Source organism: Homo sapiens, chromosome 12 (genome assembly GCF_000001405.40).
Source record: "Homo sapiens chromosome 12, GRCh38.p14 Primary Assembly".
In the NCBI taxonomy this organism is placed as follows: Eukaryota; Metazoa; Chordata; class Mammalia; order Primates; family Hominidae; genus Homo; species Homo sapiens.
This window is the reverse complement of record NC_000012.12, coordinates 112949774-112962921: the sequence shown is the minus strand read 5'-3', so window position 1 is coordinate 112962921 and position 13148 is coordinate 112949774. Positions and strand designations below refer to the sequence as shown.

Sequence of the window (13148 nt, the reverse complement as noted above, 5' to 3'; positions counted from 1 at the left end):
AAGGGAAGCGGGTCTTCACCTGGGTTTTCGAAGCTGGCCAAGAAGGTGCATTCTCATGGCTGGGTCCTCAGTGCTATAGTTGACCGTCCAGTAGACACAGAGCTGCTGATGCTGTTGCACGAGCCCCAGCACCGTCCGGAAGCCTTGGGCCATGTTGAAACAATCCTGCCTGCAGCCCTGCTCCCAGGCAAAGATGGTGAGGAGCTCCAGGGCATAGGCTGGGGGCAGAGAGGCAGGGGCTGGTCCTTTTCCTTTGTTCTGAGCCGCAACCTGTGTCACACAAGGCCAACCAAAGATGAGTGATTAGTGGATGTGAGCTGAGTGTGGCCATAAGCACTTGGGGCAGGAAGGGAATATAGAAAATAGAAGCGCAGAAAGAATAGAAACTTGCTGATGCTTCTCATTTTACAGGTGGGTAAACTGAGGTTCAGAGGAGGGTAGTGACTTGTCTAAGGTCATACAGTGAGACTGAGAGCTCAGACGTGGCTTTTGCCTAGTGTCTCCCCTCAAGGAAATTGGAAATTTGAAACATCTTGAGTGTGTAACTCTAATTGAAGACGGAAGCATTGACGAATCCATCCATCAGCAGCCTTTAGGAATATTTTAACATTAATCACATAACATGGGGTGGTTGTACAGGAATAGGGGCTGCAATGTATCCATCTTGGTATCCCAGTGTCCATCACAAGTTAGAAATAGCAGGTGCTCGATAGATGTTTGTTGAATATAGGGATGCATGAATACAAGTCAGAATTCAGAGAAGTATTTAGTAAGGGAGCTCCGAAGGATGTTCAGAATTTAGTGCAACTCAAAAGAGGCAACAAGGCTGGGGCATGGTGGCTTGTGCCTGTAATTCTAGCATTTTGGGAGGCCAAGGTGGGTGGATTACTTGAGCCCAGAAGTTCTAGACTAACCTGGGCAACATGGTAAGACTCCTGTCTCTACAAAAAGTACAAAAATCAGCCAGGTGTAGTAGTGCATGCCTGTAGTCTTAGCTACTACGGGGGCTGAGGCAGGAGGACTACTTGAGCCCAGAAGGTCGAGGCTGCAGCGAGCTGTAATTGTGCCACAGCACTCCAGCCTGGATGACAAAGGGAGACACTTTCTCAAAAAAAAAAAAGGCTATGAAAGAATGTATTGGCTGATGTAACCCAAAAGCCTTGGAGTAGATCTGCTTTCAGGCACAGCTTGATCCAGAAGCCCATAAGGAGTCATCAGCTTTTCTGTTCAGATCTTTTCTGTTCAAGTGCTCTGGTTTTTCTGTCTTGGACAGGCCCTTACCATATGGTGGTCATTGCCAGCTCTAGGCTTCCAGAAAGGGGAGTTTTCTTTTCTAAAAATAGACATGTGGTGGGGGTAATATCATAAGCAACGGCTTGGAGGTGGGGGAAAAACAGAGAAAACATTTGCAGTGTCAAAAGAGAGAAGTGGATGGGCTAAAGTGAACCCCAGGTACAAGAAATGAAGACTTTAGACTTGATGGAGAAGAGATTTTTTTCTAACAGTGGCTTCCAGATCTGGGCAGGAAATGGAGGATGGAGGAGGCCGGTCCTTCTGCTCTGGATGACCAATAAGAAGCAAAGGAGGGGAGATGTGGGTGTAGAGGAGGAACTGATTGGCTGGGGTGGTTGCCATGACAGTGGTGGCTTCCTGGGAGGAGCCAGGGGCAACTCACCTGGCGGTACCAGTGCTTCACCAGCAGAATCAGGTTCTTCAGCTTGACAGGGCGAATGTTCATGAAGTTCCTCCGCAGCTCTGCGAAGCAGGCCTTATGCTCGCCCTCCTGGCAGCCACTGGTGAGGAGCCTCGAGTAGACCTGGGGATTTGGTTTGGTGCCAGAACTGAGCTGCCCTGTAGAAGTTTGAAACACCCTGAGTGTGCAACTCCAATTGAAGACAGCAGCATTTACCAACCCATCCATTCACCAGCCTTTATGAATATTCTAACATTAATCACCTAACATTGCAATCAATAATACACTATAACATTGAATAACAATCAGAGCTATCATTTTTTCAGTATCAATTCTGTACTGGATGCTTTTCAATATTTTTTGCTAATCCATCCAGTAACTGCACAGTGGATAATCTTCTATTTATTTTTTGTTTTTTAAATTTTCCCTGAAAGCTGAAAGATGGATAATCTTGAGCCAGAAAAGCTGTGTCACATAGTGGTTAAAGGAGTGAGCTTTGGAGACAGATAAGCCTGGGTTCAAATCCAAGCTGTGTGATTTTTACCTCTTCGGGTCTAGTTTCCTCATCTGTAAAAGGGAGATCATAAATAGCACCTATCCTTCTAAGGCTATTGTAAGAATCAATTGAAATCTACATGTGAAGTGCTTAGAACAGTATGTAGAATACATCATATGCTCAATAAGCAGTAATTATTGCTATTATTAACGTTATCTTCCAGAAAAAGAAAAACAAGACACAGAGAGGAAGCTACAATTGAGTCTTGTCCTTCACTTTCATAAGGCTGGCCTCTAAAATAAATGCCTTCTTCATGAAAAGTGACTGCAAAAGGTTGTCCACTGGCAGAGAGGGGCTTCAAGGAAGCTTGCTGCTAGGGCTCTGGGTGGGGGAAAAAAGAAAATCCCCTGTGAGAAACTGGGACCCCGATCCTGTGCTAGATGTGGATGTGAAGTCCAAATTTACAGTATCTGCATGGTGAGGAAATCCCAGACTGTTAAATTAATGCATAATCTAGCCTGGGAATTAGTGAAACTCTTGGAGTCCAGGTAGAAATGAAGTGAAAACTTGGTCCCAAGGGTAATATTTCTCCAACCCAGGGCACAAGGAACTTCCACAGGAAAAGCAAAGACAACAAAATCTCCACAAACCCCAAAGATGAGTTCACAATAAAAAATTACAAACTATATGAGGAAATGATTGACCATGAGGGAGAGTCAGGTGACACAACAAATAGGAAAATTAGCACCTCAAGAATTTGAGTTAATAGGACAATCTGAGACACTAAAATAAGCATGTTGGAAATTATTGAAGACATCAAAGAAACTGAAACCACAGTGAAAGAATCGAAGCCTATGAACAAATAACTGATTGATTTAAGAAAGAGAGAAACATAACTTTTAGAGGTGAAAAAGTCACTGAAATTTTAAAAAATTAAGGATAAGCAGCAGAGTAGACATTATTTGAATAGAGTTTATAAACCAGAAGACAGGTCCAAGAAACTGAAAAACAGACAGCCCTGATAGACAAAGAGATGGGAACAATGAGAGAGATGAAAAGCCATGGAGGATGAGATAAGAAACCATCTAACAGGAGTTCCAGAAGTAGAGAATAGACAAAATAGGGGAGAGGCAGTATTTGAAGAGCTATTGGAAGACCTCTCCCTAAAACTAAAGGAAGAATTGAGCTCTCAGATTCAGGAGGGACAGCACATTTCAAAGAGGACAAATTAAAAAGAAATCCAGAGAGGAGGTTCCAAGATGGCTGAATAGGAACAGCTCCAGTCTACAGCTCCCAGCGTGAGTGACACAGAAGATGGGTGATTTCTGCATTTCCAACTGAGGTACTGGGTTCCTCTCACTCCTCTCACTGTGGCTTGTTGGACAGTGGGTACAACCCACGGACCATGAGCCGAAGCAGGGCAGGGCGTCGCCTCACCTGGGAAGTGCAAGGGGTCGGGGAATTCCCTTTCCTATCCAAAGGAAGCCATGACAGATGGTACCTGGAAAATCGAGACACTCCCACCCTAATACTGTGCTTTTCCAATGGTCTTAGCAAACGGCACACCAGGAGATTATATCCTGCACCTGGCACGGAGGGTCACACGCCCACGGAGCCTCATTCACTGTTAGCACAGCAGTCTGAGATTGAACTGCAAGGCAGAAGCGAGGCTAGGGGAGGGGCATCCACCATTGCTGAGGCTTGAGTAGGTAAACAAAGTGGCTGGGAAGCTCGAACTGGGTGGAGCCCACTGCAGCTCAAGGAGGCCTGCCTGCCTCTGTAGACTCCATCTCTGGAGGCAGGGCATAGCTGAACAAAAGGCAGCAGAAACTTCTGCAGACTTAAACGTCCCTGTCTGACAGCTTTGAAGAGAGTAGTGGTTCTCCCAGCATGGAGTTTGAGATCTGAGAACGGACAGACTGCCTCCTCAAGTGGGTCCCTGACCCCCGAGTAGCCTAACTGGGAGGCACTTCCCCGTAGGGGCCGACTGACACCTCATATGGCTGGGTGCCCCTCTGAGACGAAGCTTCCAAAGGAAGGATCAGGCAGCAATATTTGCAGTTCTGCAATATTTGCTGTTCTGCAGCCTCCACTGGTGATATCCAGGCAAACAGGGTCTGGAGTGGACCTCCAGCAAACTCCAACAGACCTGCAGCTGAGGGTCCTGACTGTTAGAAGGAAAACTAACAAACAGAAAGGACATCCACACCAAAATCCCATCTGTACGTCACCATCATCAAAGACCAAAGGTAGATAAAGCCACAAAGATGGGGGGCAACCAGAGCAGAAAAGCTGAAAATTCTAAAAATCAGAGCGCCTCTTCTCCTCCAAAGGAACGCAGCTCCTCGCAAGCAATGGAACAAAGCTGGATGGAGAATGACTTTGATGAGTTGAGAGAAGAAGGCTTCAGACAATTGGTAATAACAAACTTCTCCGAGCTAAAGGAGGATGTTCAAACCTATCACAAAGAAGCTAAAAACCTTGAGAAAAGATTAAACGAATGGCTAACTAGAATGAACAGCATAGAAAAGACCTTAAATGACCTGATGGAGCTGAAAATCATGGCACAAGAACTACGTGATGCATGCACAAGCTTCAGTGGCCGATTCTATCAAGTGGAAGAAAGGGTATCAGTGATTGAAGATCAAATGAATGAAATGAAGTGAGAAGAGAAGTTTAGAGAAAAAAGAGTAAAAAGAAATGAACAAAGCCTCCAAGAAAGATGGGACTATATGAAAAGATCAAATCTATGTCTGATTGGTGTACCGGAAAGTGACAGGGAGAATGGAACCAAGTTGGAAAACACTCTGCAGGATATTATCCAGGAGAACTTCCCCAACCTAGCAAGGCAGGCCAACATTAAAATTCAGGAAATACAGAGAACACCACAAAGATACTCCTCGAGAAGACCAACTCCAAGACACATAATTGTCAGATTCACCAAAGTTGAAATGAAGGAAAAAATGTTAAGGGCAGCCAGAGAGAAAGCTCGAGTTACCCACAAAGGGAAGCCCATCAGACTAACAGCAGATCTCTCGGCAGAAACTCTACAAGCCAGAAGAGAGTGGGGGCCAATATTCGACGTTCTTAAAGAAAAGAATTTTCAACCCAGAATTTCATATCCAGTCAACCTAAGCTTCATAAGTGAAGGAGAAATACAATCCTTTACAGACAAGCAAATGCTGAGAGATTTTGTCACCACCAGGCCTGCCTTACAAGAGCTCCTGAAGGAAGCACTAAACATGGAAAGGAACAATCGGTACCAGCCACTGCAAAAACATGCCTAATTGTAAAGACCATCGATGCTAGGAAGAAACTGCATCAACTAACGAGCAAAATAACCAGCCAACATCATAATGACATGATCAAATTTACACATAACAATATTAACGTTAAATGTAAATGGACTAAATGCTCCAATTAAAAGACACAGACTGGCAAATTGGATAGAGTCAAGACCCATCAGTGTGCTGTATTCAGGAGACCCAGCTCACATGCAGAGACACACATAGACTGAAAATAAAGGGATGGAGGAAGATCTACCAAGCAAATGGAAAACAAAAAAAAGCAAGGGTTGCAATCCTAGTCTCTGATAAAAGGGACTTTAAACCAACAAAGATCAAAAGAGACAAAGAAGGCCATTACATAATGGTAAAGGGATCAATTCAACAAGAAGAGCTAACTGTCCTAAATATATATGCGCCCAATACAGGAACACCCAGATTCATAAAGCAAGTCCTTAGAGACCTACAAAGATACTTAGACTCCCACACAATAATAATGGGAGACTGTAACACCCCACTGTCAACATTAAACAGATCAATGAGACAGAAAGTTAACAAGGATATCCAAGAATTGAACTCAGCTCTGCACCAAGCGGACCTAATAGACATCTACAGAACTGTCCACCCCAAATCAACAGAATATACATTCTTCTCAGCACCACATTACACTTATTCCAAAATTGACCACATGGTTGGAAGAAAAGCACTCCTCAGCAAATGTAAAAGAACAGAAATTATAACAAGCTGTCTCTCAGACCACAGTGCAATCAAACTAGAACTCAGGATTAAGAAACTCACTCAAAACCACTCAACTACATGGAAACTGAACAACCTGCTCCTGAATGACTACTTGGTACATAACTAAATGAAGGCAGAAATAAAGATGTTCTTTGAAACCAATGAGAACAAAGACACAACATACCAGAATCTCTGGGACACATTTAAAGCAGTGTGTAGAGGGAAATTTATAGCATTAAATGACCACAGGAGAAAGCAAGAAAGATCTAAAATTGACACCCTAACATCACAATGAAAAGAACTAGAGAAGCAAGAGCAAACACATTCAAAAGCTAGCAGAAGGCAGGAAATAACTAAGATCAGAGCAGAATTGAAGGAGACAGAGACACAAAAAACCCTTCAAAAAATCAATGAATCCGAGAGCTGGTTTTTTGAAAAGATGAACAAAATTGATAGACTGCTAGCAAGACTAGTAAAGAAGAAAAGAGAGAAGGATAGAATAGACACAATAAAAAATGATAAAGGGGATATCACCACCGATTACACAGAAATACAAACTACCATCAGAGAATACTATAAACACCTCTACACAAATAAACTAGAAAATCTAGATAAAATGGATAAATTCCCGGACACAGACACGCTCCCAAGACTAAACCAGGAAGAAGTTGAATCCCTGAATAGACCAATAACAGACTCTGAAATTGAGGCAATAATTAATAGCCTACCAACCAAAAAAAGTCCAGGACCAGATGGATTCACAGCCGAATTCTACCAGAGGTACAAAGAGGAGCTGTTACCATTCCTTCTGAAACTTTTCCAATCAATAGAAAAAGAGGGAATCCTCCATAACTCATTTTATGAGGCCAGCATCATCCTGATACCAAAGCCTGGCAGAGACACAACAAAAAAAGACCAATATCCCTGATGAACATCTATGCGAAAATCCTCAATAAAACATCTATGCAAAAATCCTCAATAAAATACTGGCAAACTGAATCCAGCAGCACATCAAAAAGCTTATCCACCCTGATCAAGTTGGCTTCATCCTTGGGATGCAAGGCTGGTTCAACATACACAAATCAATAAACGTAATCCATCATAAAAGCAGAACCAAAGACAAAAACCACATGATTATTTCAATAGATGCCAAAAAGGCCTTTGAGAAAATTCAACAGCCCTTCATGCTAAAAACTCTCAATAAACTAGGTATTGATGGGAGGCATCTCAAAATAATGAGTTATTTATGACAAACCCACAGCCAATATCGTACTGAATGGGCAAAAACTGGAAGCATTCCCTTTGGAAACTGGCACAAGACAGGGATGCCCTCTCTCACCACTCCTATTCAACATAGTGTTGGAAGTTCTGGCCAGGGCAATAAGGCAGGAGAAAGAAATAAAGGGTATTCAATTAGGAAACGAGGAAGTCAAATTGTCCCTGTTTGCAAATGACATGATTGTATATTTAGAAAACCCCATCGTCTCAGCCCAAAATGTTCTTAAGCTGATAAGCAACTTCAGCAAAGTCTCAGGATACAAAATCACTGTGCAAAAATCACAAGCATTCCTACACACCAATAACAAACAAACAGAGAGCCAAATCATGAGTGAACTCCCATTCACAATTGCTTCAAAGAGAATGAAATACCCAGGAATCCAACTTACAATGGATGTGAAGGACTTCTTCAAGGAGAACTACAAACCACTGCTCAGTGAAATAAAACAGGACACAAACAAATGGAAGAACATTCCATGCTCATGGATAGGAAGAATCAATATTGTGAAAATGGCCATATTGCCCAAGGTAATTTATAGATTCAATGCCATCCCCAACAAGCTACCAATGACTTTCTTCACAGAATTGGAAAAAACTACTTTAAAGTTCATATGAAACCAAAAAAGAGCCTGCATTGCCAAGACAATCCTAAGCCAAAAGAACAAAGCTGGAGGCATCACGCTACCTGACTTCAAACTATACTACAGTAACCAAAACAGCATGGTACTGTACCAAAACAGAGATATAGACCAATGGAATAGAACAGAGCCCTCAGAAATAACACCACATGTCTACAACCATCTGATCTTTGACAAACCTGACAAAAACAAGAAATGGGGCCAGGCGCAGTGGCTCACGCCTGTAATCCCAGCACTTTGGGAGGCCGAGGTGGGTGGATCACGAGGTCGGGAGATCAAGACCATCCTGGCTAACATGGTGAAACCCTGTCTGTCTCTACTAAAAAATACAAAAAAATTAGCCAGATGTGGTGGCGGGCACCTGTAGTCCCAGCTACTAGGGAAGCTGAGGCAGGAGAATGGTGTGAACCTGGGAGGTGGAGCTTGCAGTGAGCCGAGATCGCGTCACTGCACTCCAGCCTAGGCAACAGAGCGAGACTCCATCTCAAACAACAACAACAACAACAACAACAAACAAACAAACAGACAAACAAGAAATGGGGAAAGGATTCCCTATTTAATAAATAGTGCTGGGAAAACTGGCTAGCCATATCTAGAAAGCTGAAACTGTATCCTTTCCTTACACCTTATACAAAATTAATTCAAGATGGATTAAAGACTTACATCTTAGACCTAAAACCATAAAAACCCTAGAAGAAAACCTAGGCAATACCATTCAGGACATAGGCATGGGCAAGGACTTCATGACTAAAACACCAAAAGCAATGGCAACAGAAGCCAAAACTGACAAATGGGATCTAATTAAACTAAAGAGTTTCTGCACAGCAAAAGAAACTACCATCAGAGTGAACAAGCAACCTACAGAATGGGAGAAAATTTTTACAATCTACTCATCTGACAAAGGGCTAATATCCAGAATCTACAAAGAACTTAAACAAATTTATAAGAAAAAAATCAAACAACCCCATCAAAAAGTGGGTAAAGGATATGAACAGACACTTCTCAAAAGAAGACATTTATGCAGCCAACAGACACATGAAAAAATGCTCATCATCACTGGCCATCAGAGAAATGCAAATCAAAACCACAATGAGATACCATCTCACACCAGTTAGAATGGCGATCATTAAAAAGTCAGGAAACAACAGGTGCTGGAGAGGATGTGGAGAAATAGGAACACTTTTACACTGTTGGTGGGACTGTAAACTAGTTCAGCCATTGTGGAAGACAGTGTGGTGATTCCTCAAGGATCTAGAACTAGAAATACCATTTGACCCAGCCATCCCATTACCGGGTATATACCCAAAGGATTATAAATCATGCTGCTAGAAAGACACATGCACACATATGTTTATTGTGGCACTATTCACAAGAGCAAAGACTTGGAACCAACCCAAATGTCCATCAATGACAGACTGGATTAAGAAAATGTGGCACATATACACTATGGAATACTATGCAGCCATAAAAAAGGATGAGTTCATGTCCTTTGTAGGGACATGGATGAAGTTGGAAACCATCATTCTGAGCAAACGAACACAGGAGCAGAAAACCAAACACCACATGTTCTCACTCATAGGTGGGAACTGAACAATGAGAACACTTGGACACGGGGTGGGGAACATCACACACCAGGGCCTGTCGTGGGGTGGGGGGAGTGGGGAGGGATAGCATTAGAAGATATACCTAATGTAAATGACGAGTTAATGGGTGCAGCACACCAACATGGCACATGTATACATATGTAACAAACCTGCATGTTGTGCACATGTACCCTAGAACTTAAAGTATAATAAAAAAATCATAGAAAAAAAGAATTCTATACACAGATACATCAAAGAGAAACTGAAGGATACTATGAACCAAGAGAAAGTCTTAAAAGCCACTGAAAGGGAAATCAAAAGAAAATGAACAAACAAAATTCATGCATGCAAACAGAAAACAGATCATTAACAACAAAAAATCAATAACTGACAGAGACTTCTCATCAGCAACAACAGGTAAGAAGACAGCAGAACTAAGGAAAACAAGTGTCAAGCATCCCATTCAAGCATGGAGGTGAAACAGAAATGGTTTTAGACAAAGTCTGAGAAAAATTTGTCACTCATAAACCCTTTCTGAAAAAGTACTAAAAGATGTATTTCTGTAAGAAGGAAAATGAATCCAGAAGGAAGAACAGGAAATCAAGTAGCAATGGTGAAAAAATTTGTTAATTATATTAATAGGGTTTAATTTGCATAGATTGTAAAAACAAAAACAAAAGAAATAATCTCCCCTATTATTAGTGTCTGGAAGTTTAGTTCCAAGATATTATCAAACCCTTGAAGATCATTATATCATTGTTGCTTCTTTCATTTTTGTCTTTTAGCTTTGTGCTGCCTGTAATGGGTACAATTTAATAACACATGCTAGTAAATAAAGAGTAGAGAGGGTACGTCAGGAAAATGCTGACAAAGGAGGACTAAAGCCCTATTAATGTCAGACAAAAGGCTTTAAGACAAAGATAACTTTCAGAAATGAAGATTATTACTTAATAATAAAAGAACAATCCAATAAAATATAATATTATGCACTTATATGTTCCCAATAACATAGCCTCAAAATATTAAAAACAAAATTTACAGAATTGCAAGGAACAAGGGATAAATATCCATTCAGAGCAGGAGATTTTAAGATATTTTACTCAGAAATTGAGAGACCAAACAAAAAATTATCCGAGCAAGAAGTCATAAGCTAGATCTAAAGGACCTATATAGAAGTCTGCATTCAGCAATGGAAAGCATGAGATAGAGTCTCACTCTGTCTCTCAGGCTGGAGTGCAGTGGTGCAATCTCAGCTCACTGCAACCTCTGCCTCCCAGGTTCAAGAGATTTTCCTGCCTCAGTCTCCCGAGTAGCTGGGATTACAGGTGCGTGCCACCATGCCAGGCTATTTTTTTTTTTTTTTTTTTTTTTTGTATTTTTAGTGGAGATGGGGTTTCACTGTGGCCAGGCTGGTCTCGAACTCCTGACCTCAAGTGACCTGCCCGCATTGGCCTTCCAAAATGCTGGGATTACAGGTGTGATCCACCATGCCTGGATGGAAAGCATGCATTCTTTTCAACCATGGGCAATCTAAGAAATGCCAACAAATTCCAAAGAATTGATATCACATAAAGTATGTTTTCTGACTACAGTTTTAAAAAACATAATAAGTAAATGCCGAAAGCAAACAAATCTCCAAAACATTCATTTGGAAAGCTACTTCCAAATATTCATGGATGAAAGAACAAACAATAATGTCATAATTAAAAGTACTAAATATTTAGACCGGAATGATAATAAAAATTATGCATGTCAAACAAAAGATTTGCCCTGTAGCTAATGTGATACTGAAAGGGAAATGGGTAGCTTTAATTGCATTGACTAAAACTGATAATTACTAAGCTAAGATTCACCTCCGAAAGTTAAAAAAAAATGAACCATAAAGTAAACCCTTTAAAATAAGGAAGAAAATTATAACATGAGAAATTTCTTTAAAAAAATACCAAGCAGATATGCCTACTGTTAACATTTGTTAAATCTGAATTGGGCTACATGGGTGTGTGACGTCTGTAGTTTTCTGTATGCTTGAAACATTTCATAATTAAAATATTTGTAAAGTTAAAGCACTAAATAGTTGTAAGATTTGATGGTGATGATTACTTTCAGTATCTCAAAGTAGTTTTCAATGCTTGGTCAAGTAGGAGAATTAGGATCACAAAGAGGATGGCAGGTGCCCCTGTTAGATGGGCGCCTGAGGTCCCTATCACTCTCCAAGGGACAGGCTGGGCGCCCTCACCCACAGCATCGAAGGCAGGCAGCAGGCTAACATCCGTCCAGCTCTTCAGGGCTGTGGACACCAGCTGGAACTGCAGAGCCTCAGGCACATTCTGCTCAGGAAACTGAAGGCTCAGGCTGGGCACCTGGTCCTGCCACCAGGATTCTAGCTGCGCTCGCATCTCATCAAGGATCTCTGCGCGGCGGGGCCCCTGGTCCTTGTAGTCCGTGAAGCAGTTGAGGAAGATGATGAGTTCAACATCACAGCCATCCCTTAGGTCTGTGCCCCGGCCAAATGAGCCCCCCTGTGGAGGGAAGAACAGCTCAGATCAGGGACCCTCTAGGAGCCTGGGAGTCGGACTACGATCCCATCACCTGCGCCCCATCTACAGCCTGGAACCTGCCCTCTTGCTGATGTCAGGTCTGGGGACTATGACAAAGGTCGACTGCATGGGTCCTGTGACCTCTTAGAATTGTGACAGAGAGTCAAGTTGTATCTGCCTGCACCTGCCCTCTGATCCATGAAGACTGAGCTAAGTCAGACCAAACTGCAGCAACAGATAATGGAGGTGGGATTAAGTAGGGGCAGCGACCAAACATTTTAGCCTACTATCTGCAGCATCTACTGACTGCACATCTGGGCCAGCAGTTGCAAATTGAGGTCCCAAGCCCTAATAGGGCCTGCAATTGTCCTCTGTTGCCCTGTTTCCATCAATTCCCTCCCTCCCTCCCTCCTTCACACGGGATATCACACATATCCGATACATGTAAGTGCTCACTAAATGTTTGTTGCAGGAAAGAAAGAAGAAGAGAGGATACAAAATTTCTGTTCTTCTGGAACTTACATGCTGGCTGGGGGAGGGAAGGAAGGGACCATCAATAAACAATAGGTCCTGAGAAAATGCTAAGTGCTGTGCAGAACAGAAAGGGGGCTGGTAGTGCAAGACTGCAATTTTATTTTTATTTATTTTTATTTTTGAGACGGAGTTTCACTCTTGTCGCCCAGGCTGGAGTGCAGTGGCATGGTCTCAGCTCACTGCAACCTCCGCCTCCCGGGTTCAAGCGATTTTCCTGCCTCAGCCTCCTGCATAGCTGGGATTACAGGGGCCCGTCACCATGCCCAGCTAATTTTTGTATTTTCAGTAGAGACAGGGTTTCACCATGTTGGCCAGGGTGGTCTTGAACTCCTGACCTCAGGTGATCTGCCCACCTTGGCCTCCCAAA

At 42.4% G+C, this 13148-nt stretch overlaps 1 protein-coding gene across 2 annotated transcripts in view, besides 1 other annotated feature; it reads right to left on the bottom strand.

The window, feature by feature from the left end:
* Nucleotides 1-13148, bottom strand: part of OAS3 (2'-5'-oligoadenylate synthetase 3) — a 34778-nt gene that overhangs the window by 10330 nt on the left and 11300 nt on the right. For both annotated transcript variants that reach the window (NM_006187.4, NM_001410984.1), the window contains exons 7-9: nt 11947-12229; nt 1676-1851; nt 20-270 (exon numbers count right to left, since the gene is read on the bottom strand). In NM_006187.4, the coding sequence (NP_006178.2) occupies nt 20-270; nt 1676-1851; nt 11947-12229 (710 nt within the window). The remainder of the gene's footprint in view (nt 1-19; nt 271-1675; nt 1852-11946; nt 12230-13148) is intronic.
* Nucleotides 12552-12752: a silencer, noted in NCBI's record as "peak1965 fragment used in MPRA reporter construct". NCBI's record gives its function as "represses an SCP1 promoter by STARR-seq MPRAs in K562 erythroleukemia cells {active_cell/tissue: K562}" and the evidence as "EXISTENCE:reporter gene assay evidence [ECO:0000049][PMID:32103011]".